Source organism: Homo sapiens, chromosome 13 (genome assembly GCF_000001405.40).
Source record: "Homo sapiens chromosome 13, GRCh38.p14 Primary Assembly".
Classification (NCBI taxonomy): domain Eukaryota; kingdom Metazoa; phylum Chordata; class Mammalia; order Primates; family Hominidae; genus Homo; species Homo sapiens.
The window spans coordinates 101,236,380-101,261,956 of NC_000013.11; the positions used below are offsets into that span (position 1 = coordinate 101,236,380).

Below are 25,577 nucleotides of genomic sequence, written 5' to 3' on the forward strand. Positions count from 1 at the left end.
AAATACCATTTGACCCAGCCATCCCATTACTGGGTATATACCCAAAGGACTATAAATCATGCTGCTATAAAGACACATGCACACGTATGTTTATTGCGGCACTCTTCACAATAGGAAAGACTTGGAACCAACCCAAATGTCCAACAATGATAGACTGGATTAAGAAAATGTGGCGCATATACACCATGGAATACTATGCAGCCATAAAAAATGATGAGTTCATGTCCTTTGTAGGGGACGTGGATGAAATTGGAAATCATCATTCTCAGTAAACTATCGCAAGAACAAAAAACCAAACACCGCATATTCTCACTCATAGGTGGGAATTGAACAATGAGAACACATGGACACAGGAAGGGGAACATCACACTCTGGGGCCTGTTGTGGGGTGGGGGGAGGGGGCAGGGATAGCTTTAGGAGATATACCTAATGCTAGATGACGAGTTAGTGGGTGCAGCACACCAGCATGGCACATGTATACATATGTAACTAACCTGCACATTGTGCACATGTACCCTAAAACTTAAAGTATAATAATAATAAAATAAAATAAAATAAAAAATAAAATAATATAAAATAAAATAAAATAAAATAAAAAATAAATGACCAAGTTTGAATCAGGAAAATGACTACATTTGAGGTGTTTTTGACTAGAATACCATGTAGACATATTTTATCATTTTGACTAAGTATTTACCAGGACAGTGAGCGTGTTGCTATATTCAATAATAACAAAGAATGTAACTAATAATTACTGTTTATTGCATAATTAGAAAGCAATGTGATCCAATATATCACATTTAAAAAAAGATATCCAATTATTACAAGTTAAATAAGAATTATAAGTGCCATCATGAAGTAACAGGCATTTATAAATAATACTGTATGAGTAATTACAATCTGTAAAGGTAAGTTTTATAAACCTTTAATATTTTCATTATAAACCGTTGTTGAGCAAACACTTAGCCTTATCGACAAGGAAGAGAAACACTTGGGATTAAATTAATGTTTCCTAGTCTTTAAAGTTTGTGCCAACATCTTATGTAGTTTAAAATTTGATACGCATGTATGGATATATGTTATCCATATATAAAAATATGTGTATCTATATACTGCTAATTTAGGAAAAGTAAGTAAAACATCTACATTGTTTCTGTGAATTTTCAGGAGTTTTAAAAAGCGATTGTTACAATTTGTGAATGCACTTTTCTAATTTGTAAGATGTCATTGTGCCTTTCTCAAGTTCATATTTACCATAATAGTTATTATATATAAATATTATATATAATTCTATGTGGTTGTTAAAATAATGTGACAGGTATTTACTCTGGAAATAAATAAATTTCTAAAGACAAATAGGCATTATTTTTATTACCTGAAAGTACGTGAATTGTGAATGATAAAGATCTGGGTATACATGAAGAGTAGTTCCAATTACGAGTAGTAGTTCGAATTTGTGGAGAGATGAGCTAATATATCCAGTAAATCCCAAACACCATATCTTCAGAAGTGCTTCCAAATCAAAAAGTACTGTAAAAGCCACCTAGAGAAACAAAGAAACATTGAAATTGAAATTCAGAACTATAATTTATTCTAAATTATTTCACATATTTGTCAGTGTATGAATTTTTGCCACTATCATATACACTAAGGTGCCCCATAAGGTCAAGAATGACATTTTACTTTAAGAATGCATTTGAAACATACCAACTAGAACACAGTAGACCAAAGCAATCTTAAACAATTATAAAAACATGTTATGATTTTGAATGTTTGTGAGTGGCATTATTTCTTTATTATCTATATTTGATATTATTTTAAAACCATTATTATTTAAAGACTTTCTATGTACACAAAAGGCTGAATTTTTTTGTATGTTGTATTTTTTAAGATAAAATTTATTTAATGTACATGGCATATTATAAAATAACAACTTACATATTATTAACCTAATTAAACTAAAATTTAAAAGTTAAAATATCATTTATTCCTTTATGCTTTAGGCCACATGGCAAAAGAGAAATTGAGATTTCATACCAAGCAATTGATCTATGTGTGCTTATGCAAATAAATCAATATGTTACTTTAATATTAATAAAATTAATGATCAATATTAGTATATTAACACATTTATTTGATCTTTTAATCTCTCACATGCATTCTATGAATTTACTATTCCAAATAACAATATTATAAAACACACACATAAAGACAGCATGTTATTTCCTTTACATGTCCTATGAACAAGAATTTTCATTTTGTAAAGGAGATTGCAGCTGGAATTAAAATTTGCAATAGAAGATTAACTTCTAATTAAAGACTATGAGGGTGACTACTGGGATTAGTCATAATATGTCCCTCTGAGAAGACACTACATGATTTATTGAAGATAGGAATATAGCAGACCTTGCTTCTCTTCTTCTAGACTAATGTGGAGTATCAGAAGGGATTTTCTTCCACTCATATATGGAACATGTGGGGAAAATGCAGTTTTAATAATAGTGTTTTAAGAAATGAAACATTAAAGGCACTGCAGATAGTTAATTTAGATGTGAAGAGGAAATTAGCATCACTTCTCAAATCTACCATTTCTGCAGATTCTAGTTGCTTTTTAATTTTAATTGCCATTTCCCTCCTTAAAAAACATAACAAGGTAATATATTTTAAATTTGAAATGATCTTAAGTCCACAAAACACGTGGATGAACTCCTTTGCCCACGTTTCTCAGGTATTTCATGTTAATGTCATGTATATTCTTTCCTTGATCATCTGCTTCTTCATCCACACATATGCAATCACAGAAACAGGCTTGCAATTACATGTTTTTACATGAGATGTAAAAACAATTGTTACAATTTATGAAAGCACTATTTCTAATTTTAAAGATGTCATTGTCCTCTGTCAAGTTCATACTTTCTATACACTTATTATGTATAAATATTACATACAGTTCTATGAAGTTGTTAAAAATAATGTGACAGGTATTTACTCTGGAAAGAAAAAAAATTCTAAAGACAAATAGGCATTCTTGGTATTACCTAAAGTTACGTGAACTGTGAATGATAAAGATTTGGGTATGCAGGAATATTATATATCACTCTGCAACTTGTTTTCTGAGTCACTAACAATCGTGGATATCCCTCCAGATTAAGGGATATAGGTCCTATGTTTTATTTATCAGCTGCATAATTTCCCATAGTGTTCAATGTTTATGTAACTCAACATTTTCTCTACTAATTCATTGATGGGTGGTATTTGCAGGAATCATCAGGAAGGTGGTTAAGCACATTGCTACTTCAATAAAAAGGCTGCACTAAGCATCCTCCCTCAATACCAGTATTTATTGAGGCTTTCATATCTATAAATAGATTTCCAAAGTTGGTATTGCTGGGGCAAAGACAGATTAGTGTGTTTTAAATTTAGAAAATATTAAAGTGATTACTTTCAAAATATTATAAGAAATCATTTGCCCTTCAGCAATACAGGAAAGTTATCTTGTCTCAAATCCATGCCAGTATCAGTGTAATCAAACTTATTGTTGCTCATCTGTTTATATGTTTATTAATCACTTTAATTTCTTTTTAAAGTAATTAAATGTTACTGTCCGTAACCTTGACACTATTATATGGTGTTATGTTGTGTTCCTTATGCGTTTTGGGAGTTGTTGGTATTGAGGACAATAATCTTTGCTATATATACTGCAAACATTTTTTCCCTAGCCAACAGTCTGGTTTCTAACTTTGATATTGTTAGTGCTACAAACATAAAATTTACATGTTCACATATGTCTACAACTTTATGATTTTTTTCTTTACCTTTTACATATAAAATAGAACTTTAAGAAGATTAATACTAGTCTTCATATCCAGGAATGCACTCTTTTCCTATTTATTTGAACTGTATTTTACGTTCTTTAATAAGTTTTTTCCATATAAATATCCTAAATATCCTATCTTTCTTTCTCTCTCTCTCTCTCTATCTATCTATGTATTTTTTCTTTTTTACTATTTCTACCCAGTTAGTTCCAGTGGGAAGAAAAGCTATTGATTTCTCTATATTGACCTTCTGTACCCACTTTACTAGATTCTTCTATTAATTCTAATATTTTTCATAAAGTCTCACGATTTTTATAGAAATGTGCACAATTTCATAAGGAAATAAAATAAGATTATTTCATTTTTAAGATTTATTTTGGAGTTAATCATATGAATGCATTAGTTATAAAGGTACAGTTATATAATGGTTGCTAAATACAAAATGGTAATAATAGGAATCCATAACTTGCTCCTTGTTTTCAATGAAAGTTTCTTCAGCGTTCATATATAGTGGTTGAAATGAGTCTTGGTGATTAATTTTTATCATGTTTAAAGACTTTCCTTTTCTTCCTATTCTCCTTCAAAGGATTTAACCTTTAATTCACTGAGGCAATGAAATATAACACAAAAGCTCCTGATGTTAACCATTTATTTATTTTTGGAAAAAAACTCTAGATGATAATGCTAACATGTTGGATTTTATTGGGTAATATATTTTATTTATAATTTTCACAGTTACTGTTTTATGTGAAATTGGCCTATAGTTTTACTTGTATATCATTATCAGGTTTTGGCTAAGATTATGCTAGCTTTATCATTCATTCTGTACAGTTTTTATCTTTTGTATGAAAATTTCTGAAATAAAATAAGAATTAGCACACCTTTAAAAGTAGACAGAAAGCACCAGGAAACCCACATGGGCACAGGCCTTTTGGTGATGGTGGAGCAAAGCTGTCCAGTGCTGTTCAGATCAGGTTTCTTATCTCATCCATCAATTTGGCAGTTTGTATTTTGCCAGGAAATCATTGATTGTCTCTAGATTTTCAAGACCTGCATTTAGGGTACATATTTTTCCAGAAAGAATTGGTTCTTCCAGGGAACCTGGGTCATCTTAGAAATTTGGGTCCCCCTTAAATCAACTTTTGGCTGCTGTTTCTCAGATTCTGGACGTAATGGGATTTTGAGCTCCAACCCCACGAGTGGGCAGGCTGTCTTACACAATTCAGTACAGATAACATGATAACCTTTTTTTTTCTTTTTCTGAGACAGAGTCTTACTCTGTCACCCAGTCTGGAGTGCAGTGGCATGATCAGTCTTAGCTCACTGGGACCTCTGCCTCCCAGGTTCAAGTGATTCTCCTGCCTCAGCCTCCCGAGTAGCTGGAATTACAGGCACATGCCACCATGCCTGGCTAATTTTTGTATGTTTAGTAGAGATGGGGTTTCACCATGTTGGCCAGGTTGGTCTCGAACTCCTGACCTCAAGTGATCCACCCACCTCGGCCTCCCAAAGTGCTGGGATTACAGGCGTGAGCCACCATGCCCGGCCAGAGATAACATTTTTGATCTGCCAGGGGTCAAGGTCCAGAATGATGATCCCATCCTTTCCCTCTGAGGGATGGGATTTTTCCTTCCTGATGTTATGTGGGGCCTCTCTTCTGCCTCTTCACTTTGCACAGGCCTCTAGTCACTTCCATCCTGGACACACTCCTGAAAACTGCAAGTTCTGGTCACAAGGATTTGCAAATGTCCTCAGGGCAGCCACTGCCTTGGGGCCCACCTGGTATTCTGGACTCACGTCACATTTAATTTTTGGCCTCAAGAATTTTCCTTAATTTTTTGCACACTCTGCTGAACATTTAAAACGTCTTAATATTTTAAGTGTTTGGTAGAAATGATTTTTAGTTACCTTGCAGGGCCACTTTGTATGTGCTTCCTATAAGCAGTGTACAATTTTTATTTTGTGTTTAAACATACTCAGATTTTCTAGGGTTTTTGATAAGAAAATTCAACCTGCTCAAACAAAATGTGCCAAAGTTATACTTGGTCTTACGCTTCCTGTGTATTTTATGTCATTGCTGTTTCATTTTTAACCTTATCTTGTCTTTTTTTAACTTGGTCAACTATTTGCTAATTTCTTTCCCTATTCATTAATTTGGACGCTCGACTTGGTTTTTCTAATCTCCTGGCTTAATTCTCAATGGTTAGACATCAAACCAATGCTTTTTTCTTATTGCTTCACAACTAAATTGCTGGCTCACTCATCCCTCCACCCCACACATCTGCAAACTTCATAGTACACTTCTACCATCCCACTCTCCTTTGATATCACACCCTTTCCTAAGTCCTGGTTTTGCTGAAATCATTTACAAATTTATTACTAGTTTCTTTAATGTTATCATTTCTCTTTTTTCAAAGATCCCTATTTGACATATTTATTATTATCTATTGAGATCCAATGCCCATCAATTCTCTCTTCTTTTGTCTAGTCATTGAGATTGCAATTTACTTATCTTGTGATTAGCACACTTTAAAGTAGTTTTCTCAAATAAATACAAAGGGTTTTATGCTCTCTTAGTCCTTTTGTATATAAAATGCATTTTTAACACTGACAGATGAACATGTTGTCTGTGTTCAGATTCTGTAGTTGCAGTTCTATTCTCTCAGTAGTCTATGTATATTGATTCATTACCTTCCACTTTCCAGTATTGTAGATGAGTCATCCATTGCACAATACATTTATTTTACTTTTTCAGGTTTAGGTTCAGCCTGTTTAGGGGCTGAACAAGGTTACTTCTTTATGCTTGCAACCTAGGAAGGTCACCAGGACATGAGTAAGCATCTATTTTCATTTAATCTCACTAAAATTTAGTGAGCTCTTTCAGTTTGCAGATTTATGTTTTTTTTTTTTTTTCATTTATGTAAGCTTTCTTCCGTTGTTTATGACAACTTTTCTTCTATCTGTTCGCTTTTTCCTTCAGGGACTCCTATTATTCATAGCTGTGTGGATAGGCTATTTTACTTTGCCCTTATTATTATATCTCTACCACTTTTTGAGTTATTTTTTCCTGCTTCATCTCCCATATTAAAAACTAGCTCTCAAGGACTATGCCCTTTTTTAACTCATTTTTTGGACATTTTTAGTTGAAGTTACAGAAATTGTATTTTGTGCCCTGCTTACTTTTTCTTGAGACAACAACAACAACAACAACAACGGATTCTCTCGCCCATCAATTCTACTTGCTTGGGAAATCTCTAGACTAGACATTTGTCTTGATTCTCTGAGTTTCATCCTCAGTTTCTGAGTCTCCCTTTGTGTGTGAGTTAACTTTTCTTTCCTTCACCATGGATACATGTTTTTGATGTAATTGTCGTTTGTCTTTTATGCTATCTTAAGCAGTGGCAAATGAGGGGTAGTAGAGGGCACCATAGTTTACGGAGGCGAAAGACCTGAAAAGCCATAGCTCCTTTGCTGAACATCTGAAGAAGGCTTTTTGGTGACAGGATTTCCCAGAAATGAGTGGAGTCATTTATTGACCCCCTTCTCCACCTGGAGTAATTCAGTCTCTAGTGAGCTTCCCTTCCTGGCCCACTGAGACCCACAGGACTCTGTGGACTGCTCCTGGACCACAAGCAGCATACAGGCAGGTCCAGCTCCTCTGCGGGAAATGAAAGGCTCTCTGCCCTGAGCAGTGGCCTCAGGGGACCAGAGGACTCAGACTTTGCTGCAAGTCCTGCGACAGGTACTTCCTCTCTAGCACAGGCTTCTTAGTTCTGGCCTTGCAATGATATGGGGAAGACTTGAACCTGTTTTCTCTCCTATGGATACTAGGGAATCTCAGGAGAAACTGAAATTGATGTGTCATGAAGGTCCCATCCACATGCCTGACCTGGTTGCTGTATTAGCAGAGGAAGCAGTAATAGGCATTCATTACATCATCTCTCCCTTCACCTGTATTTTCAGACTGAGATTTTCATTCCAAAAAAAAAGAGTGGTGATCCATTTTAAAGTGTTTTTTTAAAAGAAAACTACTAATGAATGCCTGAAAGATATTCCAATAGATTGTCTAATTATGTATACATACAATTAATCACCTTACTAACTGCATATATTATCAAAAGGACAGATGGAATGAACTGTTTAAATGAGCATAATTTATAGTAAAATATGCAGCTGGATCTGTTTGCATTACAATTTTCTCTGTGGGAAAATGATATTCTTTTGAAAGACACTAAAAGGCACTAAAAGATTTAGCAAATTGTTATGTGATTATATTTAAATATCTATAGTCTCACTGATTTTCCCCTAGAATTCCTGATTCCAGATTCTCTTGGAATCAAATGGCTTGCTTTGAACATAATTTGTTAACTTTTACAAGCCAACACTCTAGCTCTCTGAAATATTCATGCCAAAGTGATAACATTTTATGGAAAATCAATGCACATAAAAATATGCCTAACTTAACTTGAAGGTATGGGTTATCCTGCCATAGAGAAGAACTGTGTCAGGATTTAAAGAAGGTGATTAGGAAAATCAAATTAGTTTAAATGATCACTAAGTATTTCAGTGTAGGTTATGGGGTTTGGTACAGGACTTAAATTCAGAGGACTATAATAGTTCAGAAGAACCAAAATAGAAGCAGTGGAGGCAAGCTCTAGTAACCACTTCTCAATGTGCAGCTCCAGATTATTGCAGTGAACTCAACCTTGATGGTAGCTGGACAGGGTGGAATTTGCCAGGGGCATGCTGGGAGCCATCTAAAAGGGAGAAGGCAACTGGGGTCTCTGCAGAACCTAGTTGCCTGGAGGGCTCCCACCAAAGTCACCTGTGCAGGTGTCCAATCTCAAGGCTTTCTGCAAATCCCAGGCATTCAGCAGGCAGCCTGTGGAAAAGTGGAACGGTGGCTTCCATTTGTCACTCTTAGCCTGGCAGCCCTCCACTGCTTTGGCCCTCCTCAGTCTGCAGCCCCTGCACCAAGAAGGGCTCATTGGGACCCTTCTTCTGTTTCATATTCTGCAGTGCATTCCACCTTTGTGAGTACCTACAAGTTAAAACTTAACTTTTTAAGAGTTAAGACAAAATTTGTAAGAGTATAATAAACTTTTCTTTTTTTTTGCATTACTTTAAGAAAACTTAGAAACAATGCATAGAAAAGAAGAGAAATATTTATTTCTTCTTACAAATACCCCAAAGCAGTGTTTCCCAATCTTTTTTTAAATCACCTCTTCTAAGAAGTCTTTTAGAGATTTTGTTCTTAATCACCACCTCATGGAGTTTTGATACCTCTACCATATTATATATCTTTTTACATACTCTACTTTGGTTATTTGGTCTACAAGGCAATCTGCATTATAAAAGAGAGAATTTTCTACCCCCCAACTAAGAACATATTTTCACCCCTTTGGAGGTGATTTTACTCCCTGTTGAGAATGCATGCTCAACCGATATACCTGGTTTGATGTCGCCATAATGAGGCAGGAGAATAGGGTCTGGAGGCAGGGAACCTAAGTCCATTTCACACTGACTTCTTAGAACTAAATTGAAAGAAAAACCCTAACTTTCCATGCCTGAGTAGCAAAAGGACCAGGGGCTACTCCCTTTGCAAACCCCCACCTTTTCTGTGCGGCAGATGGATAATTGAAAGTACCTCTGATCGGTTGCTTTTCCCAACCAGACACTTGCCTAGGAATGTAACTTCGTAACTTCACCTCAGCCTCTGATTGCGGGCAACCACTTCATTTACATGGGGTGAACACCAAGTAGGTGGCCAATGGGAAACCTCTAGGGGGTATTTGGACCTGAGAAGATTCTGTATCTGGGGCCCTTGAGCTGCTGCTTGGGCTCACTCCCACACTGTGAAGTGTACTTTCACTTTCAATAAATCTCTGCTTTCCTTGCTTCTTTCTTTCCTTGCTTTGCTGTGCGTTTTGTCCAGTTCTTTATTCAAAACGTCAAGAACCTGGACAACTTGCAGTCGAGACCCTCTACCAGTAACAACAGCAGAGTTTAACTAATCTCGTAAACACAGGCCTATGAGATAAAATGGTAGAGATGGACATTGCCCATGAGTGGAAAGATATTTGAAATGTGTTATCTAATATTTGTGTTGCAGTCTCTGTTTTCTAATTTCAAAGAATCATGATGGATATCATGAGAAAAAAATGCATATTTATCACAAAGGAAGATTACAGGACAAAGCTCACAAGAAAATCAGTTCAGGCAATCCCATTCTCTTACATGAAATTCAGATTCAATAACAACAAAAAGTGATTACTGATTACCTGTATCAGTCTGGAGCTGTCTGTAAATCACCTACTCTTAGCTTATAGTGTATATCAGTATGTTATAAAGAGCAAATTTTGAGATGGATGGTTGAGAAGTCCAGATTGTCATTATTGTATTATATTTTTACCTAACAAGATAATGTCCAGATCTTTTAGAAACACACACAAAAAGTAATTGTCAGAAGAAACCTATTTACTTGAAGTTTCCCAGAAAATGAAATTAAACTCAACAATAATGTCAAAGACTGCTGCTATGGCAAGATTGATTATTTTCTTCATTTGGCCAATTTTTATGATTAATGAACTCAAACGTGGGTGTCAGATTTTGTTGGGGCCAAAATAAATGACTCTTCATTTTAACAAATATCATAAAACCAAATGTCTTCAGAGGAATGCAGAAATCACTTTTCTAGAAAAGAGGACTCCCTGCAAGACGGCAAAATGAGTTCATGATTTATGAAACCCCTTCTGTTTCAAACATACTGTGATCAAAGGAAAAAACAGGAAACCAAAGAGGCAGGAAGGAATTCTAAACGAGGTTAACCTCTTTGTTGACCAGAAATGCAACAGAAACATATGCTAGGTCAAGAATCAGGCAATGTTGGACTCAATTGCTTCCTATAGGGTGAGGAGACTAAGGCACCTTAGATAAGGTAAAGATGAGAACCTTCATAGTGAAAAGACAGGGACTAGAATGGGTTTCTCTGCTAAGGAAAGGACAGAGACCAACTACCCAAGGCTAAGACCTTATAGGCAGCTGCAGGCCTCCAGAGGCAGGAGGAGAAATTATCAGCTTATCTGAAAAATCAGAACAAGATATTTTATGGAATATAGACTAGTGACAAGAACTGTGATATCACCCATATCAAGGGGCTAGCATTCTCCAAATGACACTTAAAAACCTGGCTCTGGATGGTAGGGTCCAGGGTCAAGGTTAAGGCAACTGCAATATCCCTAAGAAAGTAGAAGTGATCATAGAGGGAGGGAGAGAGAAATAAGAAAATCTCCCAAGCCAAATGAGGCAGCATGCAAAGATTTTAAATAAATCTAATGAGAAAGAAAACAAAATTCTAAAATTCAAACTATGAATTTACTCTCAGTAAAATTAATTTTGTCAAACTTTTTTTTCACCATCATTTAGTTGTTTTCATTATTTTATTTTTTTAAATTAAATTCAATTAAATTTAAAGTTCCAGGATATATGTGCAGGATATGCAGGTTTGTTACATAAGTAAATGTGTGCCATGGCGGTTTGCTGCACCTATAAACCCATGACCTAGGTATTAAGCCCCACATGCATTAGCTATTTATCCTGATGCTACCCCTCCCCCCACCTCCTGATAGGCCCCAGTGTGTGTTGTTGTTCTCCCTGTGTCCATGTTCAGCTATTCAGTGTTCTCATTATCCAGCTCCCACTTATAAGTGAGAACATGCAGTGTTCGGTTTTCTGTTCCTGTGTTAGTTTGCTGAGGATGATGGCTTCCCGATCTATCCATGTCCCTGCAAAGGATGTGATCTCGTTCCTTTTTATCGCTGCCTAGTATTCCATAGTGTATACGTACCACATTTTCTTTATCCAGTCTATCCCTGATGGACATTTGGGTTGATTCCATGTCTTTGCTATTGTGAACAGTGCTGCGATGAACATATGCATGCATGTATCTTTATAATAGAATGATTTATATTCCACCCAGAGAACCCCAGTAAGAATTTTCAAAGAAGTTTAAGATGACCAAAGAGATAAATGAAAAAGAGAAAATAATAAAGGTGAGAGGAGAAATTTAAAAAACAAAGAAATAAAGGGACTTAATAGTTCAAAATATTGGGAACGAACCAATAATTTCAGGTACATTAGAAACTGTTAGTGTCAACCAAACTAAAAGCTGGTTCTTTGAATGAAAAATAAAGAATTTTACTGGCTTTTGCCTCAAGTTCCTGGGAAGTAGCCTCTACATCCTTGGAATTTGCCAATTGATAGGTATCTTTGTTATTTATGGTGACCCTGGTAGTTTATGGCAATGAGATCATTCATGAGCACTGGCCATGTCAGAAACTCCAACCTTGTGTGCATGGCCAGTGATTCCAGCGATCATGCCTACCTAAGGAAATCCCAATCAGAAGCCTCAGCACAAAGCTCAGGTGAGCTTCCCTGGTTCTCAGCGCTCTGAATATTGTTTCACATCCATGTGCTGAGAGGGTGATATGTCCTCACTCCATGAAAAGAGGAAACAGCAAGTTTCACATGTAGGACTCTCCAGACCTTTCTCTCTGCATCTCTTCTTTTGGCTGGCTCTGATTTGCAACCTTTTTGCTTTAATAAAAATGTAATCAGAAGTATAGCACTTTCCTGATTTCTGTGAGTCATTCTAGCAAATTATCAAACTTGAGAAGGCTAGTGGAAACCCCCGAGTTTTTAGCCTGTTGATATGTCATATGATATGTCATATGTCATATCAACCATATTAGCCATATGATATGTCATATGTCAGGGAGGCCCTGGAACCCCCTGAGCTTACAGTTAGTATCTCGAGTAAGGGTAATCTTGTAGAGGACTGTGCCTCTGTGCTGTGAAGTTTGGTCTAAAATCCAGGTAGTTAGCATCAGAAGTCATTTACTTCTATAAAAAAGAAAGTTATAAATAAACAATATTGGCAGCAAAAAGGATTATACATTCAGTTTCAATAGAGATTATAAAAATCCTGAGAGAAAACTGTGGAAATGTGAGACATTAGTTAAAATTAATGACTCTATAAATAGCAAGCAATAAACCATGAAACTGACAAACCATAATAATCAAACCATAAAATAAGTCATTAATCAAGATCTCTCTTCTCCCTTTCTCCACCAGGGATCCCACTGCAAACAATAGCCCTAGATGGTGTTCCAGAGGGACTTTATTCATTCTTTCACAGAAGAGAAAAAGAGAAAAATATGTCTATTCCATTTGTGAAAGGAAGTGTAACTTCCCTAACAAAATCAGACTAGCAATGTAAAAGAAAATAAAATCACAGAACTACTATCCTTATGATTGAAAATTCCTAATATAATGTCAGCTTATTGGATTTGTTTATTAAAAGTAATGCTATAAAATCAAGTGTTTCAGGAATCTAAAATAGTTTCAGTATCAAAATATCTATTATTCTAATATACTGCACTAAGAAATTAAAAAGGAAAGTCTGTGTAGTCAGCTCAGTATAGGTAGAAGAAGATTGAATACTCAACTCATAATGAGAAATGCTCTTGGCAACCTAGAAATAGAAGTGAGCTTTATTAACATGATGAAAGGCATCTATAAAAACCTACAAATGACATTAATGATGAAATCATAAGCATTCGTATCAAAATATAGAAAAACACCCAGCATGTCCACTATCACTGCCTCTATTCAACATTTTATTAGAGACCCACACCCGGATAATAAAAGAAGAAAAAAATCAGAGATATGATAATTAGACGTGGAAAGACAAAACCTTAATTTCAGAAGATACAATTATCTACATAGAAATTCCAATCAAGTCTATGGATGATCACAAACAACCAATTGTAGTAAAGTTGCTGGCTATGAATTAGGTCAATATAAAAAATTAATATTATTCCTACATCAATAAAAATGTAATTGAAATTATTTCATTCACAAAAGAAACTGTAGGATATGTAGGCATGAATGTAACAAAAAATGTGGAAGACCTTTGGAGAAAATTATAAAGCATTGTTGGAAAACACTAAGGAAGGTTAGAATAACTGAATAGAGATGTTCTTAACATCAATTAAAATCTCATTACTAAAATGAATTAAATTTTCATAATGTAGAGCAAGAATAGCAAGACCAAGAACAGATAAAACAAATCTGAAGAAGAATATCAACATCAGTAGCTTGCCCTAATAGATCTCAAGGTTTATTATAAAGGATAGCACTTATGACAACATGTTATCAACTAAAGCTTTGATGTATAGACACAGACTGAGGTGTCCAGAAACACAATTGTGCACATGTGTAAACCTGATATATGACAGAAATTGCACTACAGGAGTGAGGAAAGAATGAATTTTCAATGAATCTTCGAAGGACAATTGTTTATATATGGGGAAAAAATCAAGTCCTTATCTCATTCCAAATGTATTGGAGTCTAAAATTGAAAAAGCACAACTTGAAAACTCTAGCCTTTACTATAAGAGAATGTCTTTAATGACTCTGGTATAGATAAGACACAAAAAGCACTGAATCAAAAATTAAAGATGACTATATCTTACAGTGTTAAAATTAATAACTTCTATTGAAGAAAAGACAGCAAATAAAAGTTAAAAGACAAGCTGAAGGCTGGGAGATGTCTGCACTGCATACTACTAGATAACTGAAAAATCAATTAGGGTACAGATTAAACAGGCAAAATTATAGAAGAGGAAATTCAGGGCTGACAGAATACGAAAAAAAGGTCAAATCTCTATGGTAACCAAGAAAATGTATATTAAGACTATAATGATTATATGAGATTGTAAGAAACTTAAAAATCCTGAACAAAAAAAAGTAGTATGAAGTAGAGCTGCTCATATATCCTGGTAGGAATGTAAATTGACACAAGCACTTTGAAGTTCAATTTAACAATATTTAGCAAAGTTGAAAGTGAGCATATCTGACAAATTCACAATTTTAAGTCTAGGTATATATTTAGAAAGAGCTCTCCCAAATGTGGCACAGAAATTCTAATGACAATGTTTACTGAAGTATTGTTTTCAACAGCAAAAAGTTGGAAGCAATTGAAATACCCATTGCCCTTACATGCAGAACAAATAAATTCATGCTTCAATCGACATGAATCAATTTCCCAAATATAATGAGGATTGAAAAAGTGGCACCTTAATACTTCATACTATTATAAAGCATGCATTGATATGATGAATATAGTTCTCTGTGGATTAGGGAGAAGGAGGAGATCAAGAAGTGGTACACAGGGATCTTCTACTCTACTAATGATGTTTTATTTCTGATTGAAAAACCTGACCCAAACATGAAAAACTATTAATTTTTTAAAAATCTGGGTGACGGACACACAAATATTGGTTATAATATTTTCTCTATGTGTTGAATTTATGAAATACTTTCTAATTAAGAAGGAAATAAAAGAAAGTCACAGATTTTCAAAGGATAGAAATTTCAAAAAGAAGGAAAAATAACCATAGAAAAAGAATCCTGCAAAATAATCATATTAATACACAAAGGCTAATGGTTGCTTCTGACATCATAGGTATCTGACATAAATAAGTCTAATCCTGCCCAAATCTTATTTGTGTAAAATTAATTTAGTCTCAGCACGTTTTGCTTCATCAATAATCTGTTTTAGAAACAACATTCTCTCAAGCTGTAACTTCTCTCAGCGAACTAGCACCTTGGCAGTTTATGACTCATTCCCTCCGACAAGACAACTTAATACATATTTAGTCTACCACAATAGAGAATGATTTTTAGATCTATTGGAAACACGGATTTAATAACTAAAACTGCTCATATGGATATGATGTGTTGAGACAAACACTGACTTGGAAATTGTTCTTAATTTCTTCTTGTAGAGTCACTAAAATTTCTTTGATAAATCATGTTATTGCCACAAATTTTAGGTATACACCTCACTCAAGATTACACCAGATAATCTCACAGAACTATAGCTTCTAAGAGTAGAAAGAGGTCCTTAGAGTCACACATCGATGGCCATATCTTATTTACTTTATTTACCTCTGATTCCCCATCACCAAGCACAACTGCCATGTAAGAAAGGATACTAGGCCCTTCTTCCTCTCTGTTCTCTGACTTTATAATTGAAATGAGATGAAAAATTTTATATCCATGTGAAATCTTTGCAGAGAAACTCTGAATGTATTTAAAATAAATATTTCCTGTGGGGGACTAAGAGGGCTTAAGTAATAGATGATACTTTCTTTTCTGAGGAATCTAGATCCTCTTAATAGCAGAGCTTTTTGTTTTGCTGAACAAAAAGCAAGTGAAGATGCAAGTCTGGGGGTGGAGTGGAATTGCTGTGCATGAGTAGCAGGGGAAGAGCCTGCCTGGCTGATGACAAGTTGGGGAGATATGGGAGTAGGCTGGGTAGGAGGGATAGACAGAGTTGAGGGTAAGAGGAGTTCTAGTTAATTTACTGTGGGGTATGTAGCACAGAGTCCTAGGACTTCTTTCTCCCCTCTGGCTTCATTGGAAAACATGACTGTCCTCATTAATACTTAACACCAGGAGGTGGAAGAGGATTGAGCTCCCCATTCAGATAGGTCTAGAGGAAATCAGAGAACATAGCTGGGGATAATGCTAGGGGGTGACACAGAGCTAACTTTGGGCCTCTCTGTAGGTCCGTTGCCTTCCTTGTTGTATCTCTCCCATCTGTTTGTGAGTTTCTCAAAAGAAGAATTGAGATAAAAGAAGATAAAGCTTTTAATCTCCTGTGCTGTGCTGATAAATTTTGTTAAATGTACAGTCTAATGGATACAAATACATTCATATAATAATAAGAAAAATATTGCTTATATTTTATTTCTTAAGAAAATAATATATATTTTAAAATGTAATCATGTTCATTATAACATATGATTTAATGTGCAATAATAATATATTCTCTTAGATCACAATGAAAAGTTAAAATTCTTACAGAGGAAAATAAACTTTACCTTTTTCTGTTTATGCATAGGCTACAAAAGAGGTAAACTGTTTCCTGTTTCTTAACTAATTCTAAATGTAGGTTAATTAATCCAAAGTAACAAAACAAGTCCCCAGCTTCACAACAGAAGCTAAGTATCTTAATTTATTCTTAAAGGGTGATTTTTAGACTGTGAGTTGGCTCTTAATGGGTAAAGTGCTTTATTTTAGATTTTCTAAATAATTTATTCTGGAATATGTGGGAACTTAAAAAATAACTTCTTTAAAAGCTCATGACCTGTTGTGATCCATTTTTAAAATAAACTTTTCAAAATATTACATAATGCTATTGCCTTACATACTGCATCATTATAGTCTATAAACTTGAATTGCTGTTATTATAACTATTTTGAGAATTAAATGAGACAATGAATTCTTTTAAAGCACTTAGAACATAATGGGCCCCCCAAAAATCATAGCTTTATTGTTGTCAGTATTAAAATATTTGACTTTAACACAAAATGTTATTATTTATTTGTATTTTAAATAATTGAATATAATCCAATATTCAATTATTTGACATTGCTCTCTGTTTCTATAGCTTAAACCAAGATCCATTTTTGTAAATAAAGTTTTATTGGAAAACAACCATTCTGAGACACACTCACTTTTGTACAATTTCAGAGTTGAGTAGTTGAGACAGAGAGAGGGTGGTCTACAAAAGGCAAAATGTTTACTATCTGGGTCTGCAAGAAAGAGTTTGCCAAACCCTGGCCTAAACTCAAGACATCTTTATAAACTTTATAAAAATAGAATATATTATGAAAAAGTAAGTTTAATTAAAGTGACTTTTTCACATTCATTTGAAACAAATCACTTTGTCTCATGTATAAGTTTCTGATACAAAGAGAAATGGCAATGTAATCTGAATAAAAACGAAACATACTTGGGGAAAGTCAAACACACAAAATCAAAAACAGAGTGGAACGGCCAGGAGTGATGGCTCACGCCTGTAATTCCAGCACTCTGGGAGGTCAAGATGGATGGATCGCTCGAGCCCAGGAGTTTGAGACCAGCCTGGCTAACATGGCGAAACCCCATCTCTACTAGAAATACAAAAATTAGCTGGGTGTGCCTGTTATCCCAGCTTCTTGGGATGCTAAGGCAAGAGAACCACTGGAACTTGGGAGGCAGAGGTTGCAGGGAGCCGAGATGGTGCCACTGCACTCTAGCCTGAGCAACAGAGTGGGACTGTCTCAAAAAAAAAAAAAAAAAAAAAAGGAGACAAAAACAACAACAAAAAAACCCCAAAACCTAGAGTGGAACAAATTCAGAATGCTTAAGTAGTTCAAGAGTACACTGATGGGGTCTATCTGGTTGTTTAAGTCAACAAAATCACCACTACCTAGTTTATTTATTTATTTATTTTTCCAGGATTTCAAGTTAGTTTTTAGCTGGTTAACTGATTTGCCGCTTTGTTAAGAATGAATGACATGTGGCCGGGCGCGGTGGCTCACGCCTGTAATCCCAGCACTTTGGGAGGCCGAGGCGGGCGGATCACGAGGTCAGGAGATCGAGACCATCCCGGCTAAAACGGTGAAACCCCGTCTCTACTAAAAATACAAAAAATTAGCCGGGCGTAGTGGCGGGCGCCTGTAGTCCCAGCTACTTGGGAGGCTGAGGCAGGAGAATGGCGTGAACCCGGGAGGCGGAGCTTGCAGTGAGCCGAGATCCCGCCACTGCACTCCAGCCTGGGCGACAGAGCGAGACTCTGTCTCAAAAAAAAAAAAAAAAAAAAAAAGAATGAATGACATGTTAAAAGCTGCATTCATGTAATGTACCAATGTGATGAACTTGGGAATAAGTGTACCCCTGTGAAACCATTACCATCAATGCCATTGACATATCCACCACCTCTCAAAGTTTCCTCCCACACCCTTTCTTATTATTATTGTCAGGGGACAACAATTATTGGACACATAATATATACTGAATTCCACCATCCAATCCTGTCTGTCTGTTGTTGAGGTTGTTTTTATTTTTAATATTATATAAAAAAGAAAAAAGACAAGGATTTACCAACTACCCCTGGACTCTACAATACACTTAAATAGTAACCAGTCAACTCTACAACATTCAATTATTTGACATTTTGTTGGAATTTCTTAAGGTATGAGGATAAATCATCTACCATACATAAACACATTAGGAAAGGATCAATTCTGTACATGAAAAAGTTAGGTAAAATTTACTAAAGAATTCCCTTCCCTGCTGTTGCCAGTGTGGAGGGCCTATTCACTTATGCTCCAGGACTGATTTAGTGTGACCACCTGCCCACCCTGTGCTAGATCACAAAAGCAATGTTACTGTAATCTCTAATGTCAAGATTCCCTCAGGAGCAGATGCAGATTCCTCCTCCCAGAGAGATAAGCATAACTGTAATCTCTTGTGGTCATTTCTGCTTTTGTTTCCTGGCATTTTTGCCAGCAAATCTTTACCTACTGATGCTATTACTCTTGTATCATTCTTCTGTCTCATCGATCTTCCCACTTCTCCCTCCTCAGAGCCTTGAACTAATCTTTGAGTCTCTCCTACGTTAAATAATGTCCTCTACATTATCAATCTCTGTTCCCAGAATCTACTTTCTGTCTGTGCCTCAACTGATTCTCTCTCAAATACATGAGTTACCCCTGCAGCCCTTTCCAGCCCTTTCTAGTAGAACATGTAGACGAGGAAGAGGTGCCCATCCATTACTCCTTGATACTCCTTTGCAACGTATTCCATGAGGTTAAACCATGCTGTCACCCACTCTCCCTGTAGCTGTCTTCTGTCCTTCTGTCAATCTGTTCATCAGTCACTCGCTCATTCCCCGTGACTTTGCTCCCTGACTCCACTCTTCTCTCCAAGAACTGGCCTCACTCTGAGTGACTTCAATGTCCATGTGAAGACTCAGCCAGCGCCTTAGCTTCAACAGTCGTTTCCATTTCTGCCTTGACTCCATCAATATGTTTAAGCCACCCACATTCACGTGACACCCTAGATTTTATATTTCATTACTTAGAATTACCCTGGAATTGTAAAATCCTGGACTCCACTCTCTGATCATAACCTCTTCTGGTTCTATTATTCCATCACTTTGGTGGTACCCGTCCTTTAACCATATAGAGACCATTGATCCTTCACCTTCACTCCTCCATTCTCCTCCCATTTCCACATCCAACAGAAACCACAGGGTCATCATTTCAACTCCTTTGCCAGCAATCCATCTTTTCCCCTTGTTTCTCAGTTCCCCTAACCTGAAAAAAATCCCTAAAGGTGGATTGATTTAAATGTTGCTTTTCCCTCTTCTTATACAGGGCTAAAAAGTCGCAGAGCTATCTGAATTGGTATCACTGTAAATCCATAGTCCTAAATGGATCTTTAATGTTGCATTTGCTGTATTGTTAATTTTTTGCCTAACCCCAGGCACCTCTTCCCTCTCCCCTTTCTTTGCCAACTTCCCACTTCACTGTCTCATCATCTGGCTGGATGCAGACCTTGCTTCCTACTTCCTGGGAAAAACAGAAATAACTTGATGAGGCTTCCTTCATTGTTCTTTCCCTGTGTTAGAAATTTACCTGCAAATATTAGTATCAGTCTAGGCTTCTTTCTGCTTTTTTTTTTTTTTTTGAGATGGAGTCTCACTCTGTCACCCTGGCTGGAATTCAGTGGTGCGCTCTTGGCTCACTGCAACCTCCGCCTCCCAGGTTCAAGTGATTCTCCTGCCTCAGCCTCCAGAGTAGCTGGGATTACAGGTGCCCGACACTACACCCAGCTAATTTTTTGTATTTTTAGTATAGATGGGGTTTCACCATGTTGGCCAGGCTTGTCTCGAACTCCTGACCTCGTGATCCACCCGCCTTGGCCTCCCAAAGTTCTGGGATTACGGGCGTAAGCCACCATACCCGACCTTCTCTCTGCTTTTATTGACAATCCATTCATCGTGTGCTGGATTTTCAGCAAAATTATACCTATTTTTCAGAGGCTGGGCTGGATATAATTTCTTCATCAGCCCCTGTCATTAGTTCTCCATAGCACAAAACTCTTATTGTTTATTGTTTTTTTTTTTTTTTTTTGCTAGATTGTAAGCTCCATATACCAGGTGGCCATTGGGCAAATGTTGCATCACAGAGACTGTAGCCCAGTAAAAGTTTTGTATTAACGGTATTTTGTTTCAGGAGACATACTTCCATGAAGAGGAGAATTCAGAAGCGACTACTTAAAAGTTTCTTGATATCCACGTAGATGTCTATGCTCGTTAGGTACATGCAATCAATTCTTTTTCAGAAAAGCTTGTGCGTGGGTAGACTAAATTTTTATTAACCAAATCAATTTTTAAATGTACTGAGAGAATTCTAGGAATGTAATAACACTTAATTATATGGCAAATTGATTTTTTTTATGTGAAAAATGCTTTGGTAAAAATAATAAAATTGTGACTTTTTTCTGTCTTTTCAGTTTACTTTTTCATAGGTTGGATTTATTGAAGCGTTGTACAACTGTGTATGTATACCTCACTCACACAATGAATGGGTTTCTACGTTGTCAATCAATTTTTTTGTAAATATGTAACCATTGAATTCTGAGATATATTTTAGGTAAGTTTTTACATTAAAAAAACAAAGATCTTGGAAAATTATTAAAATGCTTTAATATAAATGCAAAATGCTTATTGAAAGAAATAAAAATTAAAATATTTTAAGAATCAGGTATTAACAAAATTACCTTATCAATAGGAAGTACTATTCCAAAACTGTAATATGATATGTAGAGTGCTAGGGAGATGCTTATTTAATCATGAAACCTACCTTTAATTGGTGTCTTTAATGTAGGTTGTAACACCCGTTTCTAGAGGAGTAATTTATCATTACCATCTCTCTATATGTCCTTCCAGCCCTCTTCTACGTATTGCTGAGCTGACCAGCTTATTTATGATCTTCTGAATCTGTGCCTGCTTGTACTTAGTAGGAAACAAACTAATGTACGCTGAGAAAGGGAGAGATAATAAGAGGTGGATAGGAAAACAGCAAGATTCTAGAGTAAGACCCAGGGGAAAAGGGTTACCCTGGCAACGTGACATACTGTGAGGAAGATGACTCAGGCCCGCGGTGACAGGAAATGAATCAGGCCACACTGTGACCAGAGGAACCACTTAAGAAGCAGACAATGATTCAGCTTTGGTGAAAGTCAAGTAATGAACAGGCTACACTTCACTTTTGCATCTCTAAGAGGCACTGTCCGCGGTTCACCTGCTCCTTGCCCAGCGATCTGCACGGTGGAGAGCTGCTTACCTCCGCCAGGTAGAACTCGTCGTACTGCCTCCTGAAGTTTTCTCCTTTGTAGTAGTTGCTAGCCGCCACGATCACGTCCACGGTCACCATGCTCAGGATGAACATGTGGAAAACGGATGACCGCATCATTTTCTGAGGGGGCGAAACAGACAGACTCTTAACAAAGAAATAAACCTCATGATTAAGTGTAATTGACTTAGTCCTTGGCTGACAGCACCTTTGTGATGTGCTGCTATGCAAAACAGGGCTTCCAAGATAAAGCCATCCATGTCCCACACTGCTGAACTGGGCAGGCAAGGGAACCTTTCTTTCAGGCAGCTAAACAGTGACTAGGAAGATGGTTTCAGAGACTTTTGACTAAAAATGGAAAACATATATCATTTGTGTATGGCTTGCATCTTAATTTTTAATTGGTTGGTTGGGTAGTATTTATCCTTAATTCTGACTGTATGGATAAATGGCTTTTAAAAAGCTAGTAACACAAAACAAGTATTTCTTTATTCTGTGTTTAGGGAGAATACTGCAGATGAAAATATTTTAGAGATGATTATTATACAACTGGAAAAGTAAGAGAAACCTGAGATTTATTTTTTACTTATTACTTCCATAAATATTTGTTGAAAATTTTACTACAACTTCTAGTAAGTGACATGTACATCATACTTGCTCTCTACCTGGAGTTTTTCTAGGTGCTTTACATAAATTAACTCATAACAGCCCTAGGAACCTATTCTAATAAGGAAACTGAGGCTCAAAGAGGTTAAGTAACTTTCCCACTGTCAAACAGGGATTGAAGATGGACTCAATACTGGAACCCAAGTCTGGTCCAAGTCTACTGCCTACATTAAGATAAAGATAATTAAACATTAAAAAATAATGAGTATTATTTATTATTATTATTATTATTTTGAGAAAGAGTCTCGCTCTCTCGCCCAGGCTAGAGTGCAGTGGCGTGATCTTGGCTCACTGCAAGCTCTGCTTCCTGGATTCACGTCATTCTCCGGCTTCAGCCTCCCGAGTAGCTGGGACTACAGGCGCCCGCCACCACGTCTGGCTAATTTTTTTGTATTTTTAGTAGAGACAGGGTTTCACCACGTTAGCCAGGATGGTCTCGATCTTCTGACCTCATGATCCGCCCGCCTCGGCCTCCCAAAGTGTTGGGATTACAGGCATGAGCCACCATGCCTGGCCATAATGAGTATTATTATAAAGGTTATCATGTATTAAACGGTTACTATGTTCCAGGCCATATTATTCACATTAAAAATATTTGTGGGTACATAGTAAGTGTATATATATATATATATATACACACACACATAAATATATATATATACACATATATATTTATGGAGTACACAAGATGTTTTGATACAGGCATGCAATGGGGAATAAGCATATCATGGAGAATGGGGTATCCTTTGAGTTACAAATGATTATGTTACACTCTTTAAGTTATTTTAAAATGTACAGTTATTATTATTGACTGCAGTCACTGTATTATGCTAGCAAATAGTAGGTCTTATCTATTCTTTCTATTTTTTTTGTTCCCATTAACCATCCCTGCCTCCCCCCGTCCCCCCAGTACCCATCTCAGCCTCTGGCAACCAATCTCTACTCTCTATGTCCATGAGTTTGATTATCTTGATTTTGTGATCCCACAAATAAGTGAGAACATGTGATGTTTGTCTTTCTGTGCCTGGCTTATTTCGCTTAACATAATGATCTCCAGTTCCATCCATGTTGTTACAAATGACTGGATCTTGTTCTTTACTATGGTTGAATAGTGCTCCATTACGCATATGTACTGTATTTTCTTTATCTATTCGTCTGTTGATGGACACTTAGGTTGCTTCCAAATCTTATTGCAAACAGTGCTGCAGCAAACATGGGAGTGAAGATTTCTCTTAGATATACTTATTTCCTTTCTTTTGGGTATATGCCCAGCAGTGGGATTGCTAAATTACAGCAGCTCAATTTTTAGTTTTTTGAGGAATGTTCAAACTGTTCTCCATAGTGATTGTACTAATTTACCTTCCCACCAACAGTGTAGAAGGGTTCCCTTTTCTTCGCATCCTCACCAGCATTTATTATTGCCTGACTTTTGAATATAAACCATTTTAACTGGGGTGATATGATGTCTCATTGTAGTTTTCATTTGCATTTCTCTGATGATCAATGATGTTGAACACCTTTTCATATGCCTGTTTGTGTCATTTGTATGTCTTCTTTTGAGAAATGTCTATTCAAATCTTTTGCCCATTTTTTGATCAGATTATTAGATTTTTCCTATAGAGTTGTTTCAGGTCCTTATATATTCTGGTTATTAATCCTTTGTCAGAGGGGTAGTTTGCAAATATTTTCTCTAATTCTGTGTGTTGTCTCTTCACTTTGTTAATTGTATCTTTTGCTGTGCAGAAGCTTTGTAACTTGATGTAATCCCATTTGTCCATTTTTGCTTTGGTTGCCGGTGCTTATGGGGGTATTGCTCATAAAATCTTTGCCCAGTCCAATGTCCTGGAGATTTTCCCCAGTGTTTTCTTGTAGTAATTTCATAGTTTGAGGTCATAGCTTTAAGTCTTTAATCCATTTTGATGTGATTTTTGTACCTTACAGAGATAGGGGTTAGTTTCATTCTTCTGCATATGGATGTCCAGGACCATTTATTGAAGGAACTCTCTTTTCCCCAGTGTATGTTCTTGGCACCTTTGTTAAAAATGAGTTCACTGTAGGTGTGTGGATTTCCTTCTGGGTTCTCTATTCTGTTTCGTTGGTCTATGTGTCTGTTTTTATGGCAGTACCACGGCGTTTTGATTACTGTAGCTTTGAATTATAAATTGAAGTCAGGTAATGTGATTCCCCCAGCTTTGTTCAATTTGTTTAGGATAGATTTGGCTCTTCTGTGGTTTCATATAATTTTAGAATTTTTTTCTATTTCTGTGAAGAATATCATTGGTATTTTGATAAGGATTCAATTGCATCTGTAGACTGCTTTGGGTAGTATGAACATTTTAACAATATTGATTCTTCCAATCCATGAATATGGAATATTTTTCCATTTTTGGTGTCCTCTTCGATTTCTTTCATCACTGTTTGATAGTGTTCATTATGGAGATCCTTCAATTTTTTGGTTAATTGCAAGGAATTTTATTTTATTTGTAGCTACCGTAAATGGGATTACTTTCTTGATTTCTTTTTCACACTGTTTGCTGTTGGCTTATAGAAATGCTACTAATTTTTGTATGTTGATTTTGTATCCTGCAACATTACTAGGTTTGTTCATCAGTTCTTATAGTTTCCTTGTGGAGTCTTTAGGTTTTTCCAAATATAAGATCATATCATCTGCAAACAAGGATAATTTGACTTCTTCCGTTCCAATTTGGATGCCCTTTAATCTTTCTCTTGTCCTATTTTTCTAGCTGGGACTTCCAGTACTATGTTGAATAACAGAGGTGATAGTGGGCATCCTTGTCATGTTGCAGGTATTAGAGGAAAGGCTTTTCAGATTTTCCCC

The 25,577-nt window shown here is 36.1% G+C and overlaps 1 protein-coding gene across 10 annotated transcripts in view, besides 2 other annotated features; it reads right to left on the bottom strand.

Moving 5' to 3' along the window:
- NALCN (sodium leak channel, non-selective) overlaps nt 1-25,577 on the bottom strand; it is a 363,404-nt gene that overhangs the window by 182,604 nt on the left and 155,223 nt on the right. For all 10 annotated transcript variants that reach the window (XM_011521069.3, XM_011521067.3, XM_024449336.2 and 7 more), the window contains 2 exons: nt 22,064-22,195; nt 1,376-1,543 (listed from right to left, as the gene is read on the bottom strand). In XM_011521069.3, coding sequence (XP_011519371.1) covers nt 1,376-1,543; nt 22,064-22,195 — 300 coding nt within the window. The remainder of the gene's footprint in view (nt 1-1,375; nt 1,544-22,063; nt 22,196-25,577) is intronic.
- Nucleotides 21,187-22,386: an enhancer, noted in NCBI's record as "P300/CBP strongly-dependent group 1 enhancer chr13:101909917-101911116 (GRCh37/hg19 assembly coordinates)". NCBI's record gives its function as "activates an origin of replication core promoter dependent on BRD2, BRD4, P300/CBP, MED14 and CDK7 cofactors, with strong dependence on P300/CBP, by STARR-seq in HCT116 cells {active_cell/tissue: HCT116}" and the evidence as "EXISTENCE:reporter gene assay evidence [ECO:0000049][PMID:35650434]".
- Nucleotides 21,717-21,776: an enhancer, noted in NCBI's record as "active region_7962". NCBI's record gives its function as "activates an Ori minimal core promoter by ATAC-STARR-seq in GM12878 lymphoblastoid cells {active_cell/tissue: GM12878}" and the evidence as "EXISTENCE:reporter gene assay evidence [ECO:0000049][PMID:35858748]".